We start from the raw sequence: 18624 nt of genomic DNA, 5'->3' as shown, positions 1-18624 counted from the left end.
ATTATAGTCTTCTGTGTCTTGGTGTCCACCTGTCTTCTTTACCTTTATGGACTTTTATAAAAAGGTTGTCTAACCATCAATCATCTATCTAGCACCTAAATCTCTATATGTGTTTATCTTTCCACATTTAAATATCTAAAGGAAAAATTGTACATTCCATTTGAAGAAGTCATCCACTTACATTTCAGCAGAGAGTTTTGGGAGGAACTCAAGAACACCTAAACAAAAAGAAACCTGAAGACCAGACAGTAGCATGTTATAGCCAAATTCTGATTAAAATGTGTTCTTTGACATTTGAGAGGTCTTTTGATTTCTAAGTAAATGTGTTTTGATTGACTTAGGTAGTCCTGTTGAACCTGTTAGGTAGTTCTGTCCCGTGTCCCATCTATTAAAGCTTCAGTTGTCCTTGATATTTAAGAGTTAATGGTGTAGTAATTTGTGCCATGACTAACAAGGCTGAATTACTTGTCAACACTGTGGCAGGTATCTGTTTCCTAGTAACTCTTCATGGGTCAGATATTGAGGTCAGTTCTGAAGAACTTGAGGAAATGAGAGTAAGTAAGGAGAGAAATGCTGGGTCGGACCTTACATTTAAAATTTTTTTTCATGGAGAAAAACATGATCTTTGTGAAGATGGAAGCAACTGTAAGTAAGCACTTATGGAATGTCTAGAAAATTACTATGAGGTAACCCTAAGGTCAATGGAATGCATTAGAATATCTCTGCTTCTAGAGAAAAAATAAAATAAAATAAATGCTTAGCCAGAAAAAGAAAACATGAGATCAAACTTCTGCGTGTAATATCTTAAAGAGATATGATTCACTTAAATAATTTTCCAAGCCTCTGTTATTTACAAGGCAAAAAAAGAGATCATTTGATTAAATTTAAATGGAAGTTTATTTTGCCTTTCATGTTCATTTCATACCAAATGTATGACGGTGTTCAACATATTTTATGTGCTTTCTATACCCCCCGTTTGCAATACAAGTTGTCTTAAATATGATCAATAGATTCAGTATATTGATGTCCTTTGAATGATACTGAGAGCACAATTTTGTGTTTGTTTTCTGTCTAATCATTTTCAGAATCTGCTATGATGACACATATGGCAGGATCTATGATAAAGCAATTGTGCGTATACAGACAGAAATGAACCTAAAATATAACTTTGTATTAATGAAAAAAATTGACATTTGATGGCGAATATTGTTAATTGCAATAATAAGTAGAACACTGAATGTATATGTAGAGGGCTGAGCAGTGTCCTCCCGAAATAAATACCTATGTGGGATCTTATAATGTGACCTCATTTAGAAACAGGGTCTCTGCAGAAGTAATTAGTTAAGGTGAGGTCATACTGATTTAGAGTGGGCCTTAAATCTAAAGAATGGTATCCTCCTTATAAGAAGGAGGAGGATACACAGAGAAACACAGGAAAGGCCAGATGACCACAGAGGCAATGGAACAGACACTCTCCCAAAGCCTACAAAAGGAGCCAATCCTGCTGACACCGTGATTTCAGACTCCTGGCCCTCTGAGTTGTGAGAGTACATTTCTGCTATTTTAAGTTTGTAGCCATTTGTTACGGCAACCCTAGGAAACTAATATAGTGCATCCTGATTACACTTAAAAATTAATTAAGTTAACTCTACCTCCATATTTCCCCATACACTTTGTATAATCTAATTTTTAAATCAAGATAATATGATAGACTTTAAAAAATAATCTTCCCAAGCTACCTAATTAATTTTCTTCCAATAACATTACTCAGCATAGTTTTTATTTCTAATGAAAAATATACAGCAAAGGATTATTTATAATGTGATGGTTAACATCAGTGTCTTGCTAAGAGTGTCTCACTCTTAATACAAGAGACCTGTCTTTCCAATGCAGTGCACTTGGTGGTGCACCTCCCACCGCCCCCTGGAGGACAAAGTGCTCATAGCCCAATTGCCCAGAAGGTTGATCACAGGCAGCTCTCAGCTGAGACCCTCTCTGCAACTTCCCTTTGCTAAAGACAGCCACTTTGCCCCAAGACCATGCCTCCTTTTTGGGGCAGCACACATAGGATGCCAAACAACAGCGGGGATAAAGGCCATCCCTTTTGTTTTCATTAGGCAATGCTCTAGTGCCTTTCCAGTTAGACAGAGCCTGCTGGGGTGGGTCGGTGTGACTGCTGAGGTCTTGTGAGAGCGTGAAAGCTTTCCACTTCCTCCTCTGCCCAGTCCTCCTTGTTCCTTCATTACCCAAGATGTGTTCATCCCAAAAGCACCCCCAATACATTTCTTGCACACAAATATCAGTCTCACTGTTTTGCTTTCCCAGAAACCCTGAGTCACAGGAGAAATATCTTCAAGTCCAATCTAAGCCACCAGTTCAATCATATTTAGAAAAAGTTGATAGAATATTCTGCCACAGTTTTCTCCCCAACAAAAAGAAGTCTGTACTCCTTGGTTATTTGGCTTAGGTCTCCTATAGGTCTAAACTACTGAGCAATTCTATAGCTATTCCATATATTTTCTCCCAAATAATACAAGCCCAATATAATGGCATATGCTGGTTATGAAATATGGAAAGGGTTGAGCTGCGGATGTGAATAATAGCACATAAATACATATTTTCTGACCATAGTCTGTTCAATATTTAGGATTTTGCAAAATGAAAAGAGATAATAAACATAAGAAACATGAAAAGGAGAGAAAGAGGGAAATGAAGAGACTGTGTTTTGAGACAAAAAACTAATTTTTATTAACTGTGAGTATTAATGCTATGGTCAAACTTTAGCAGTCAGTGTTAGCACATGGTAGATATAAATCACCTGAAACAAAGCTTACCTTTTCTTCCCAGTCTTCTCACTCTAATCTAAAAATTATGAAAAAAAAATGGACAAGGAAAGAAACATAAGAGGCTTCTTATTTCTTGCATGCTCACTTTTATACTGTAACTAGAAGATTCCAAACAAATACTGATTGCAAATTATATAAGGGATGCTGCATTTTGAAATAAGTTATAACCTCAACTCTTTTTTCCTATTTAATATAAGTTTTGTAGGCTAAACTTGCCCTCTGAGAAGATTGTTGAACAGGCAAGTGAAGTAATTTGCTTGGTGTAATCTTGGTGCTGAGGGAGATAACTCCTTCTGTATGATATTTATATAACGAGTCTTATACCCACAATTAGCTTTAGGATGCCATCTTAAAGGTGACCTTGATTTATTTAGCTGGTTAGTCAGTAGATACTTTATGGAGTTCAATATTCTAAAGATTGATCAGAAAAGGAAACTTTTAATGTCCTTAATGGGGTCATTAGTGATATTACGGAGTGAAATTAAACTGAAGGACAACCTCAACAAACCTTTTTTTAGTTCTAATAGCATACCCCTGGGAAAGTTAATAGCTAGTATAAATTGGTGCCTATTTCCTTTATCTCATTTTCATTATCTAGCTTAAATAGATAACAGATGATTATGTTGAATATAAATTAGAAGCATTGCCTGTTTTCTAAACTTGACTCTTATAAAAATAAATGCATAAACCTTTATAAAGTCAAGGAGAATTTTTATGGAGATTCCATGGTACTTTCCAAAAGTTGGTACTTTTTTATGGTCAATAACAGAACTGTTAACTTTTTTCACTGTGGAATGACAGCAGTGGATGCGTGACTCAACCATTGATTTCAATTTTGATTTGTGAATAATTACTCCAGATGATGAAGTGTGAGTTGCAACTCTCATCAGGAAGGAAAGTATCAGCCAGAGAGACAGTTTTCCACATCCTAGGACAGAACACAGTTTCATGTGCTGCACCCCAGTGAGGACTCTGTGATACCTGGAGTGAACTCTGGATAGAGGTGAAAGAGTGCTGATTTCTACCCAGGTTTTGCCAAGCTCTCAAGAGCACTGTCTACTGAGTCTTTTCCTGCCTTTCTTTGGGTTGGGGAATAAGTAGGCATGCCTTGCTTTCTGCCGTATGGTTTATGTAAGAATCAAATCAGATAATATGTGTGAAAGCAAGCTAAAAACTATAAAACAATACATGGACAAAAGCACTTGAAAGATATCACTATTCCTTATTCAAATCTGACTTTATTTTGCTTTTCTTTCTTTTTTTTTTTTTAAATAGAAAGAGATTTAAAAGAACACCTGAAGGGAAATAAGAAGAGAAACAGAATATGAAGAGGATTCAACCAAATAGAGCCAATGAAGGAGACAGAGCAACTTAAATAATAAGAGCAATTTTAAAAAATGGGACAAAAAGGAAAGGATACTCAGTGCATAGTTGATGGCTTAAGAAAATAAGATTTTTTTATATTATACTTTAAGTTCTAGGGTACATGTACACAACATGCAGGTTTGTTACATATGTATACATGTGCCATGTTGGTGTGCTGCACTCATTAACTCGTCATTTACATTAGGTGTATCTCCTAATGCTATCCCTCCCACTTCCCCCACCCCATGACAGGCCCTGGGGTGTGATGTCCCTCACCCTGTGTCCAAGTCTTATTGTTCAGTTCCCACCTATGAGTGACAACATGCAGTGTTTGGTTTTCTGTCCTTGTGATGGTTTGCTCAGAATGATGGTTTCCAGCTTCATCCATGTCCCTACAAAGTAGGACACGAACTAATCCTTTTTATGGCTGCATAGTATTCCATGGTGTATATGTGCCACATTTTCTTAATCCAGGCTATCGTTGATGGACTTTTGAGTTGGTTCTAAGTCTTTGCTATTGTGAATGGTGCCGCAATAAACATACATGAACAAAAAAAGTCCTTTTTTCATGATGTTCTCTTATTTCTTGCTGAAATAAATGAAAAGATTCAGTATGTCCAAGTATCCTTTATAGCTAGGACCAGTGGTATAGGAAGCTAGCCTCAAACTGTTTATAATAAATATGCAGGGAAATCCAGATATTAGAAAGTCCAATGATAAATCCAGTATAAATTTATCATAATACATATTAAAAAATAAAGCAAATAAAAGCACCAAAAAGCCAACTAGAGCTAACAAACAAGTTTGCCAGATCACAGAATACAAAATGAACATATAAAAATAAATAAAACCCAGTCACAATAGTATCAAAGACAATAAAATACTTAAGAATAAATTTAACAAAAGAAGTGTAACACTTGTATGCTGAAAACTACAAAATAATGATGAGAGAAATTAAAAATCTAAATGAATCAAGACACATTCTATATTTATGGTTGGAAGTCACAATATGTTAAAATACCATTTCTACCTTAATTTATCTGTCAATTTCAACAGAATCCATTTCAAAGTCGCTGTGAGCTTTTTTTGTAGAAATTAAATGTTGATCCAACAAATTTATACAGAAATGAAAGTACTTGAAGCTTGAACCGTTTTCAAAAAAATGAACAAAGTTGTAGGACTCATATTGCCTAATTTAAAAAATTACTATAAGGTTGTAATCAAGACATTATGATATACATAAAGGAATAGGTTAGATCAGTGAAACAGTGTCAGAGTCAAGAAATTTACCCCTACATTCATGGTCAATTGCTTTCCGAAAAAACTGCCAATTCAATTCAGTTTGGAAAAGATTGTCTTTTTACCAAATGGTGGCAAGACAATTTAATATCTACATAAAAAAATAAGAAGAAGAAGGAGAAGGAGGATGAGGAGGAGGGGATGGAGGAAAAGCTTCATCCTTACCTCCTCATGCCATACACAGAAAAGAACTCAAAATGCATTACAGACCTAAATGTAAAATCCAATAATAGAAAGCTTCTAAAAGAAAACACAGGAGAAAATCTATATGACCTTGAGTTAAACAAAGAGTTTTAGACGTGACAGCAAACACACAATCTATAAAAGAAAAAGAAAAAATAAATTATATTTCAATAAAATTAAAACATTTTGTACTTCCAAAGATACCATTCAGAAAATAAAAAGACCAGTTACAGACCAGGCAAAAACATTTCCAAATCGTATATCTGATAAAATACTTGCAGCTTAAATGTATTAAGAACTCTTATATCTCAGTAACAGACAACTCTATATTAAAATGGACAAAAGGGTTTTTTTTAACAAAGAAGACATATGCATGGTTAATAAGCACATAAAAAGGTGTTCAACATCATTAATCATTTTGGCAGTTTCTTAAAAAGTAAACTATGAGCTTATCATAGATTCCTACAATTTTTCTCCTAGAAATCTACTCAGTAGAATATGTGTATCCACACGAGGACTTGGACATAAGCACATACTGCAGAATTATTCGTAATAGCCAAAAATGGCAACGTTCCAAATGTCTATCAACTGATGAATGAACCAACAAAATGTGGTATATCTATGCAGTGAAATGGTAATCATGATAAATGACATGAATGAACTGCTGACATAGTCCATGACATGGATAAAGCTAAACTATACTAAGCCAGGCATTGGAAAACTTTTTTCTTAAAGGGCCAAATAGTAAATGCTTTAGGCTTTTCAGGTCCTATTGTCTCTGTCAATAACTCAATTCTATTGTTCCACAAAAGCAGCCATAGACAATGCATAAACACATGAGCATGGCGTGTACCATGAAAACTTTACAAAAAGAGACAGCATGCCCACAACCCATAGTTTGCCCCAATCTGTGCTAAGTAAAAGAAAGAAAATGCAAAAGTCTACATATTATATTATTCCATTTACATTACATATCCAGAAAAGGCATATTACAAGAATAGAAAACGGTGGATTCCTGGGTCTGGATGAGAGAACTGAGATTGACTGGAAATGGACTTGGGGAAAGTTTTAGGGGGATATAGTAATTTTGTAATCATGGATTATGGTGATTCCAGCACCGCTATATAAATTTACTAAATATCATTAAATTTTCCACTTACAATGAGCAAATTTTGTGGCATGTAATTTAAACCTCAATATAGCTGTAATGAATAAACAAAAAGAAAAATCAAGACTAAATAAAATAAGCAATTGTTCAATTCCTATCATTGGAAAATGGAAAAGTAAGAAATATTTACAGAAAATAACTTAAATGTCCTTCTTGCTACTGTTGTAAGAAAAAGCAAATATTGGCAGTTAATTATGAAAATATTTCTCATGAACTCATGACCAAAAATGAAGAGAAATTTCAGAAAATTTGCCTGCTCTGTCTGATTGATTTGTCGGCTTCTGAATGATCCTCTCCAGTCTCTCGATAACTAGCAAGATTTACAAGCTCTGCCAATGTCAATTGTCACCCACGTTGCAGAATATTCAGCATAGTCTGAAGACCCTGGTCAAAGGGGAAAATATAATAGATTTTCAATAAGTTGGTGTTGACAACTAGTAAAATGACTATACTTTTAAAATTTAATTAATATATGTAAAAGTAGTAGTAGCTGAACTGTCATATTCTGTCTTGAAAGCATATATGGAAATATGATTATAAAACATGCCTGTGATATAAATTTGAAAAAATTCCAAAAAATAAAATAAGACTGAGAGAAGTTGGTAGTTAGTATATACATTTCAGATCAAAATATGAATTTCAAAAAAGCTGTCAACAGTTTTAGGACATCATAGACTCATTCTGTCATGTATGGAAAGAATAAAGGATCTACCTACACTTCCATGAGCTGACAAAACTAAACCTCATCCAAGCTATTTTGTTCTTTGTACCCTATTTAAGAAAAATATTTTTTAAAATTTCACAGAATGAAAGCACATAGTCAGAGTGAATTACAAGTGCTCATGATGGACAGTGTGGTGATGAGTTCAGGAAACTTATTATATAAGGAAAGGGAAAGTTGAAGAACTAATCTAAGCTTTGACCAAATATGAGATATCTTTAGAATCATCTAATGATGAAATGGTTTGGCTCTAAATGTAATGAGTTTTCTAACATGGGATGTGTGTAATTAATAATTTATTCAGGATTGCAGCACTGTATTAGAGAAACAGCAATAAAGCCACTCATTGACTCAAAGGAGCTCCAAGTCTAGTGCTGAAGGAGGCAGGTTAAAGGACAATTATAATGAGTAATGACACAAGTTCAGGACAATGGGTGTCCTTGAAATCCTTTACAAAACTGAGACCTGGAGGGCAGGAAAAGCTTCTTAAAACAGGTTACAACTGAGCTGATATTTTAAGGAAGGAATAGGACGTACCCAGACAAAGAAAGGAGGATGGGATGTTACAGACAAAGGGATGTGCAAAGGCATAGAGACATTCAAACTCACAAACATTTATTATTCACAAACATTATTATGCACTATGCACCAAGCATTGTAGGTGCTGGAAATACAATAGTCAATAAAAAATACATATGTTGCTATAAGTATGGTTTACTTGAAAATAAATACTACATGAGAAATATAGCAGGACACTTCATGTTGTGTCCTGAGGGGAAGGATCACAGTTTTCAGTGGAGCAAACTGGAAAGTTCTCACTGAGAAGGCAATGTTGAGTAAAGATCTAAAGGAAATGCAGGAGTGGAGCTCTCAGGCAGAAATGGCCACAGCAGTGCAAAGGCCCTGAGCAGGAGTGTGCCTGGACTTCCCAGAGTGAGTGGTCCCGGGAGCTGGATGAGAGTTGAAGGAATGTATCTTAGATGAGACCAAAGAAGCAATTATTTGCTCTAAGAGGACACATTGTTTCAGCCTCATTAGAGGCCTGATAAAATGAGAGAAAGTAGCTGTGAACTCCAAATATTTGAGACAGGTCTCAGATAATTTAGAAAGTTTATTTTGCCAAGGTTGAGAATGTGCAGCCATGACACAGCCTCAGGAAGTCCTGATGACATGTGCCCAAGGTGGTCAGAGCATAGCTTGGTTTTATGCATTTTAGGGGGACATGAGACATCAATCAATATATGTAAGATATACATTGGTTCCATCTGGAAAGGCTGGACAACTTGAAGCAAGGACTGGTTTCCAGATCACAGGTAGGCAAGAGACAAAGAGTTGCATTCTTCTGAGTTGCTGATTAGCCTCTCCAAAGGAGGCAATCAGATATACATTTATCTCAGTAATCAGAGGGGTGACTTTGAATAGAATGGGAGGCAGGTTTGCCCTAAGCAGTTCCCAGCTTGACTTTTCCCCTTAGCTTAGTGGTTATGAGGCCCCAAGATTTATTTTCCTTTCACATTTCCCCCTCTTTATTTTTAAAATTTTTTTGGAGAAAGCATTTTAGAATAAAATGAGTCTCTTGTCTGAGGCTTCATGTGATCTCTCATGGCTAGGATGGTTTATATTTAGATGGGTAGGTCCCCAAGTTATCAGGAAAGCTCACTTTTAGCATGTTGTAAGTCTCATGACCTACAAAGAGAAAATAGGGGAAGGAGGGGAGAAAAACAACAATCAAAAGGAACAATCCTGGAAAATCAATATAGTCCACATTACTCTGAAGTCCATAATATAGCAGTAGGCAGGTAGGAAAGTGGCTTATGTATATAGATAGGTTTTTGTTATTTTCTTCTGAAGTTGAAGTTGTCTAGCTTCAGTTTGCAGGGCTTTAAGAAAGTACAGCTTAGTTTTCAGTAATTTCAAACTAGGAAAAATGATGGGAAAAGGAAAAGAAAGAAGAAAAAAATTGAAAACATTATTTTGGAGACTTGTAGCCAGGAAAAATTAAAATTCAATCCAAACTGTAGAAAATAATAAAAATTGTGAAACATTAGGCAAGACTAGAATTTAACAGCAGGTGTATTACAGTTTTTGAAACAGAATTTTTCTCTCTCCAGTTTCCCATTTTTACTAAGACAAATCATGGTAGGACTGATTTGCTTTATTACACTTGGCCTGATTATTTGTATAAAATGAGGTAAGAAGAATTATGTTTTATGTAAGCTTTTTAAATTGGCTTTCATGGAACTTTGTTCCATAGAAGGAATCTCAGATAAGACTTTTTTAAAGCTGAGGCCAGCCATGGCTTTGTACCATTAAATGCCTATGAGTTGGCTAAATTCCTCTCCTCTTGAGGTCCCAAGATAACCTGGGGCTCCTGGACCTGTCAGAAAGTGACATTCTTTGCTTACCACAGGTCAGGAACCCTGTACATAGACTGTGCAGACATGGTATGAGGCCAGTTTTCCCAAGGAGCTTTTATTGACTCTGTAAGCCAAGTTTGATTCCTTAAAGGAAAGCACATCAATCCAGTTAAAGCCTTAGAAAATGACCAGTTTCTCCAATGGTGTTCTGTTGCAAAAGAAAACATTCTTATTGGCACTTACGCAAATAACTATATTGCCATAAGTTAAGAATACTCACAAATAGTTAACAAATTCTGGACAAATCAGGTAGAGAGAAACAAATATGCTCCAAATTCTGTTCACAGGAGTATATTTTACTCAATTGCTACATGCGGTAAGTAGCTCAAAAGTTTTCTTGACTCTGAAAAACAAAACAAAGAATTAGCAATGTCTTAAGCAAAAAACTCAAAAGATTACTTTAGTCTTTAATTAGTTCAGTCCATGCAGTTAACTCTTGTTCTTCATGTTATTCACAGACTTTCCAACTCTCCATGAGAGTCTTGAAAATTTTTTTTATTCTGATTTTACAATCTCCAAAGTTATCAGAACCCTGCATTCAAGAACACCTGTTAGAATTTATAGCTGATCATAAAACCACCTTCTAAAGAAGACCAAAACAAGGCAACAATTGTCTGTAGATGACAATTGTTTGTCCAGCAAAAAGTTTCAGGACAACCATTGCCAAAGACACAATTGACAAGGAAATTTGTTACCTATGTGGCATGCAATAATTTAACATAACAATTATAAGTATTACTGATAACGTACACTAAGTCATATCAGAATTGCAGGAGTTTCCCATAATTTTGGAACACATACCAATAACATATTTATACAAATACAGTTCAAAGAAAGTCAAACACCATTTCCTATTTGGCAATGCTTCCTTTATAATTTTTATAACAAATAAGCCAAATATATAATTTTTGGACTTTAGATAAACTAATATCTTAAATGATCAATTAGGCCAGAAAAAGACATAACTTGTAATTTGATTTTGGAAAGTTTGTCAAATATCAAAGGTTTATAACACTTGATATCACAAAATAGAATTGCAGGTTATTGTGAAATAAGTCATACATTCAACCAAAGTGATAACTCAAAGATTTCATGAAAAGGCAAAAACACTCTTTTTTTGAGAGGGGACTTAATTTTCCAAACAATAAGCCCCAATAAGAACAGCATAAAGCCAATTAAATTTGTTTTTCAAAATTATATAACAATATACACAATTTTAATTAACTTGACCGTAAGAGATAATTTCTGTAAGTCTTTTTTAACTTTTATTAAGGAGTTGGTTAATGCTTCAAGAAAACCTTGTTATTCTGACACAGGGGCCCATATGTTGGTTTTGCATCATTGTGCGTTTCACATTAATGGCTAATTTATAGAGAAACTGAACTTACTTATGTCTCAAAATCGGTCCTTACAATCTCATGCACCCATCTCTTCCACAATTGTCCCAAGACCTTGAGGAGTTAAATAGCTTTAATTTCTGGTACTATGTCTCAGAAACACAGTTTACTTGGATTGGCATCTGCTATAGGGACTGAAGATGAGGCTTTGACTGCTATCAGTGTAAAGATTAGCAGTACTTGGTGTCCTTTTAGACCCAGGCATCAAAACCCTGTAACTTAATGGGACAAGGACTTTAAAAGCACACACAGAAAGTTACATGAGTGTAATAACCTAAAGAAAAAAAATTAATCTAATTTTTTCCTAAGGAAACCAAAACTTTATAATAATGGCATAGAAATTATTTCAATAAAACATTAAACCTGTTATAATTTATTAAGAGTAAATCAATCCCTTAAGAAAATTTTATTTTTCTAACCAATTATTTAATTTATAAGTGAATTTTTTTACATTAAATCCAATTTCTAGAAAGACCACTATAATTTCCATTTAATTATAGACAACTTGATTATAGAACAACTTTGGTTGTTTTTAATAACTCCCTTTATTGTGACTTACACAGACCATTCATTATATGCTTGGACTTTGTGGTTTGACCCAACCATCCCTCCTTCTTAAACAACCAGTAATTTTATTCTAAGACTAATTCCCATATAAGATTCTTTCTCACATAAAATTATTTCTGTTTAAGCTTTTTACCAAAAAATACCCCTTTATTTTTATAACCGTTTTTATATATCTCTTATTTCCTGGTTACTTTTACCTTGTTTTATATACAACCTTTAAATAAGCTTTGAAGTAGACAAAAATTATTTATCTTTTTAAAAAGGATGCTTTGTTTTCAGAAAGAATGTTTTCCTACCATATACTTTTATTGGAAAATACTCCAATAATGAAATATCTATTATTTAATTTAACATAACTTTAGATTCTAAATTATGAAAAGTTTGTCTACAAGTATTTACTCAATACATTTACCAAATTATTTTAATTATTTACCTAGATTATTTATGAAAACTGTGATAATCGTTAAAGTTATGAAACCACCACTGTAAACTTGTAACTGAGTCAGTGAAAAAGATTTGAACTAACTGACCCCATCTTGCTTGTAACCTCCAAGCTCTCCTTGTTACTTCCTAGGTGTAGACCAAACTAACTTTGGGAAGAAATTGTAGTTTAACTTTGAAACAAAGAAGATAACAGTCCTTTCCCAAAACAAACCCGCTTCCTGACTGGGGACTAGGCTGTCTAAAGCCACAAGATTAGAAGTTATGATTATTTTATTAAATAATCCAAGATTTAGCTATTTTTTTTTTAGATTTAGCTATTTTTATTAAACCAATATCAATATATTATTTATCAAAAATTACACAAGCAAAGATCATTATGTTTGGGACTGGGTTTTATAGTTTTGTAACCCCTATGCCAAATTTTGACACCTATGGTATTTGGCAGGGATAAGTATGAAATTGCTTAATTAATAAATGCAAATAAAAATGTATGCTGACAATACTTAATAGATCACTAATATTAGTTTACCAATAATTTTAAAGCTAGCTTATTTATTAAAGATTTTACTTAGATTACATAAACTTGGAAAAGCATTTGACTAGTCTTTCCTTTTCTCTGAGAAAGTATTTGATTTAAGTGTTTTTATTTTCCTTCAAGCCAATTAATTAGAACTCTTTTATATAGTTTTAGTAGTGAAACATTGTGTACACAACACATAAATACATAGATGTTTTAGGCATGCTGATAGAAGTACATCTTACAGATTCATAAGACCTTTTTTTTTTTCCTGATCTTAGACTAGTGAACTCTTGATAACTTGTTTCATTACCCTGGCAGTTGTCAGCTAATAGCCCTAAATCTGCATATTGAAGGCAACAACTCTTAGGTGAAAAATCAAATAGCAAAATTTGCATCTCTCAAGATTACAGAGAGAAAAAGTGTAGTGATGCTAGAGGGAGATTAAAGATGGATACCAAATCAAGCATAAAATTATTAGAAATCTATCATAGGAGTATACAATGAGATCAATTTATTTAGATTGGGACTACCTATCTTTTAACTGGATCTCTGAGCTCTGGGCAGAGCCCACACTGAATCCTAGGTCTCCAAAAGGGAAGAATTATTATGAGGCTAGACCATGTGGTGCTTTTACGGTGCACTTAAAAATTTTTTTTAAACAAAGACATTTCTAAGTGTCTAAACTACACTCTCCCTTAAAAATCCAAGAGTAGCCTCTGTTACAATAACAGTTTTAGTCAAAAATTCAGGTAACACAATACAAAATCAAGCAGTTTAAGTGCTGAGATGAACTTTTCTGCTTATACTCTTGGGGTCCCATAAGAAATAACAGAGATTTGTCCCTTAAAGGGAGTCTGGCACCTTCTCCATTTTCTTTAAGAAATCTCAGGCTACTTTAAACTATTTTAGTTCCCTCATGCAGCAGAGGGTGCAAGAGAAAGGAAAGACAGCAGAAGTAATTGAAGAAAATGGAATTTAGTCAACTGAGAAGAAAAAAAAATTTGCTCAAAAAAGACAAAGTCCTAGGAGAAAAAAACAAAAACAAAAACATAAAGGCCTTTTAAATCCAAACATGCACACATAGACACACATTTTGGATGTTAGCTTTTAATTAATCTGAGTTTTAACCATTGAGCTTCTCTAAAAAAATGTTTTATCTCATTACCATATGTCAGCTAGGACAAATTGCTGCTATTTCAGGGTTATCAATATGAAACCAGAAAGGGCTTAATTTAGGAATCAAACCCAGGCTGTCACGATGAAAAAAAAAGGAAGGCAGAACTTTAGGTAGGGAAATGCAGCGTGGGGTGATAGTTGTTGCTCTTTCAGTTTGACATGGCTAGCAAAAAGGTAAAAAGCTGGCCTTGTTACATAAATAAAGCCTCTTAAATAGTCAAAATCGAAAATTGTTTTTATTTTTTTCCCTTTTGCTGTTGTTTTTCTCCCCCCACCACACCACCTTTTGTGTGTGCATGTGGTGGGAATTTAGCCACTTCAGAGGCCTTCTTCCCCATTATTTGGAACTTTCCTTCAGATTTGATTGAATCGAACAGAATTGGTCAAACCCAATGGGAAAAAGACTGAAACAACCACAAAATCAGAAACAAACAACAACAAACAGTTAAGCAAAACAAACAAACAATCGCACAAGTTCTACGGTTACTGAGCACTCTAATCGTAAGGAGAAATGAAGACCAGCTGGTTGTTAATCTTAACTTTAGCCAAGACAAACCCCAATTCTTACCTAGGCTTAGGTCTTAGGCTGAAGACTACTCTCTACCACCTGAGAAACAGGAAAACAAAAACAAAAACAAAAACAAAACAAAACAACAACAACAAAACAACAACATCGTCATGGAGGCAGGAAAATTGTCTTTCTTGTGTTGGAAGCAACTAAATCTCCAAAAAAAAGGAGTTGTATAGCAAAATAAACTTTAGATATCAATAAAATTTGGGGAGATCAGAGATTCTCTGGAGGGGTTGCCTCCAGGCCTTAGCAAATTATCTTATTGGTTTGAGCCATAAAGATAGCTCAAGCTGGTACCATGCATAGATATGAGATTTGTCAAAGGTCAGGGGCACCTCCCCTCAGAATCCTGTCATGGTTGTCAAAATATGAACCCTCAATATCTGGGACAGGTCTCAGTTCTTCTAGAAAGTTTATTTTGCCGATGTTGAGGAGGCATGTCCATGACACAGCCTCAGCAGGTCCTGACAACATGTATCCAAAGTGGTCAGGACACAGCTTGGTTTTATACATTTTAGGGACACATGAGACTTCAACCAGTATATGTAAGAGGTACATTGATTCTGTCTGGAAAGGCGGAACAACTCCAAGCAGGGCAGGGGCTTCCAGGTCACAGGTAGGTGAGAGATAAGCAGTTGCATTCTTTGAGTTTCTGATTAGTTTCTCCAAAGCAGGCAATTATGCATTTATCTTGGTGAGCAGAAGGATGACTTTGAATAGAATAGGAGGCAGGTTTGCCCTAAGCAGCTCCCAGCTTGACTTTTCCCTTCACCTTAGTAATTTTGGGGCCCCAGGATATATTTTCCTTTCACATAGTTCTTTCACAAAACTTGAGTGTGTCCAGAACACTCATGGGAAAATGACCAGGAGTTGCAAGAAGTAAAGATAAAATTGGGCAAGCAGGCACAATTCTGTTCTGTAACCCCCTGCGTAAGATGACCACTGACCAAGTTTACTCACAACAGCCTAGCATGCTCCTGTTGTCCTGGAGCGATTTTTGGTAGTACCCTATTTTACTCTCAATGGTGTCCTGATTTAGAGACTACAATTTATGGTGCCTAAATTTTAATGTGTATGATCCCACTACATGAAGGAACATGCTTTTGGTCTTAGAAGAAAAGTGAAGTGCTGGAGGCTGGCAGCACATGAGCTCAACGTGAAGGCAATGTGATCAAAACCAGGCTGGAGGCCAGAGACCTGTGCCACAGTGCAGGCGAGACCTGCTCAAGGCTGCAGTCAGTGCAGCGCTGGCATTGAGGGCAACTCCAGCCACAGAGAACCCTGTGCTCATTTAGTGACTCCATTCTCCATCGTAGCTTGCACTTCTCCAGGGGGCATCCCGGAAGAGAGTCTGCTGTCACACGTGCCGGTGAGTCTTTAACTGGGCTGTGCATGTGTGTGTGTGTGTGTGTGTGTGTGTGTGTGTATGTTTCCTTAAGAGGGGATTAGTGTTCTCTATAGAGAGCAGTAAAGGTCTGTGCCTTGGTATCCCCTTCAAGCTTCACGAGCAGTGGTTCTGACCCCAAAATTAACAAGTTCAGAAACCATTAGATGATTTGGTTGAATATTCTGGAATGCTATCAAGTACAAAACACCCTACTCAAAAGTGCTTATATCTGCTGAATGCCTCTGAAATGGAGCATAATTCACTATTAGCATTATAGTTTTATGCCACAGCATCTGTTATGTAAGTAAGTTCAATCTCATAAAAAATTTACAAGCAATAATGCTACTCTGATTCTAAGGAACTCCACCAGACAGCTGAATCAACTAAAGAGCCAAAGACTCTGGCTTCTTAAGCAATTTTAAAATCAAATAAATTCTAATTTTTGTTTTCAATAAACTTCACACATAAGAAGACTATTCATCTTGTGCATGATGGGGGAAGAAATTAGCATTAAGTAAGTAACCATAATATGTTAGACAACATTTAAGTACTATCTAATTTTTGATTTTTTAATTTTTAATTATTATGGATGCATAATAGTTATACATATTTATGAAGTAAATATGATATTCTGATACAAGCATACAAAATGTAATGATAAAATCAGGGCAATTGGGTATCTATTTCCTCAAGCATTTAGTACTTCTTTGTGTTAGGAAGATTTCAGTTCTAGTCCTTTAGTTATTTGAAATAAACAATTATTTTTGTTAACTCTAGTCACCAAACATCTACATTTTATTTTGTTTTATCTCTCTTTTTTTTTTACAACTTATTCTTTCTATTTAATTGTAATTTCATATCCATTAACCATCCCATCTTTATCCCTCTCTCCCACAATGCTTCCCAGCCTCTGGTGACCATCATTGAACTCTCTACCTCTTATATCCTGAGGTCATTTTCATGGTAAAATTAGATAATACCATAATGGCCTCAGAATGTAAGTCTTATATAATTTAAAGATTAAAAAACTGAGACTCACAATGGTTCAGTAACTTGCCCAAAGACATTTGAGTAGTAGGTGGCACAAACTTCATGCAAAGCTAGTCCCTTGAACTTTAAAGCCCCGCTCATTTCACTAAAATGCAGTCTCTGTTACTGTTTACAACAAATATTCTACTGTGTGGTTGATAGATCAACAGTTTCACTGTCTTTAAATATAGAAAATACATTCCATTAAATGCACTGGTATTTGTATCCATTTTATATGTAAACTGACTGGGCAATTTCCTGGGATGATTGATATGTTTCACAGAATAAATTGGTAATAATTCTAATGGACACAGATAGACTTCACTACATTCAAGGAACTGTTCAGCCTGCTTTGTATATGAACTCATATAATCTTTTCAATGATGCTGTAAGGTTACTGGCACCATTCTAACGATGAAGAAAATGAAGTGTCGTGATGCAAATAGGGAAGCTGTCCGAACCTGGTTTTGTTGATCACCTGGGCTGCCTGGAAGCTGGTGAGCTGGGACCCTTCCCCTCAGGGGCTGGCACTGTCAATTAATTGACTTGAGTCAAAGGTGGTGAGACTAATTTTTCACTTAGTCTTGCAAATAAGTGGTTATTATTATTTTACTATAAATAATTTTTTAACAAATTAAAAAAATAGAAGGCAGCTTTTGAGTGCATAGGCAGAAACAAACAACAGTACAGCCAGAATAACATAACATTTAAAAACAAAGAAATAAGTGACTTAGACATTGTTTCACTTAACAAAATTCAGAAAAAAATACAGTTCAAAATATATGCCATAAACATTGCAAAACCTAAGATCTGCCTCAAAGTACAGATTGGATTGATTATTTCTGGCAAATGCCTAAGGTGTCTCTCACAGGAAGAGCCCATGTGGCTTCATTTCTCAGGTTATGCTTTCACTAATAATGGTTTCAGTTAGATGTAACTTTCTACTAAGTTGAGAAACAAATGTTTCACCTCTGCAAATTAAAAGCCTTGTCCTGGCCTATACTGTGATATGAAAAATTATTTCAAAGGGAAGGGCACATCTAAACATGAATGACCTTGGAAGTGAAAATTGGAAATTTCACTTTCTGCTCTAGATAAATCAACACTCCCGATAAGATATAGAAAATAGACACCATATTAATGCATTGTTTTAGATTCTTTTCATATATTAGACAGCTTTGTGTACCACAATAAACAGAATATTCAATTTTGCTTTGGAACACAAGATATTTATTTATAACTTCTACAGTGTTAGAGGTATTAACAGGCTGCCCTATTATTTACTTTTATAATTGATTGTATTCAAAGTGCTCTATGGATTCCACAGAAATGAAAGTCAATGAGAACAAAACATTGAGCAAATTGTTTTATTTTGGTTATTACTATATTGGAAAATTGTCTTCTTAATCTCATAGATTTTTAGATAGAAATGTATGATTTATTGCACATAAAAATTTATATGAGTATGGATTTTCTTTAGTGTTGGTCCTCAAATGCAAAGAACACTGTGTTTCAAATAAAATATTTTATACAT

At 34.9% G+C, this 18624-nt stretch overlaps 1 long non-coding RNA gene across 3 annotated transcripts in view; it reads left to right on the top strand.

The window, feature by feature from the left end:
* Positions 1–4344, top strand: part of LOC105375282 (uncharacterized) — a 70883-nt gene extending 66539 nt beyond the window's left edge. For all 3 annotated transcript variants that reach the window (XR_927269.3, XR_927268.3, XR_927267.3), the window contains one exon: positions 4122–4344. This is a non-coding gene — a long non-coding RNA (uncharacterized LOC105375282). The remainder of the gene's footprint in view (positions 1–4121) is intronic.
* Positions 4345–18624: the final 14280 nt, after the last annotated feature.

This window comes from Homo sapiens, chromosome 7, assembly GCF_000001405.40.
Source record: "Homo sapiens chromosome 7, GRCh38.p14 Primary Assembly".
In the NCBI taxonomy this organism is placed as follows: Eukaryota; Metazoa; Chordata; class Mammalia; order Primates; family Hominidae; genus Homo; species Homo sapiens.
The sequence above is the reverse complement of the archived record's forward strand: the minus strand, read 5'-3'. Positions and strand labels throughout refer to the sequence as shown.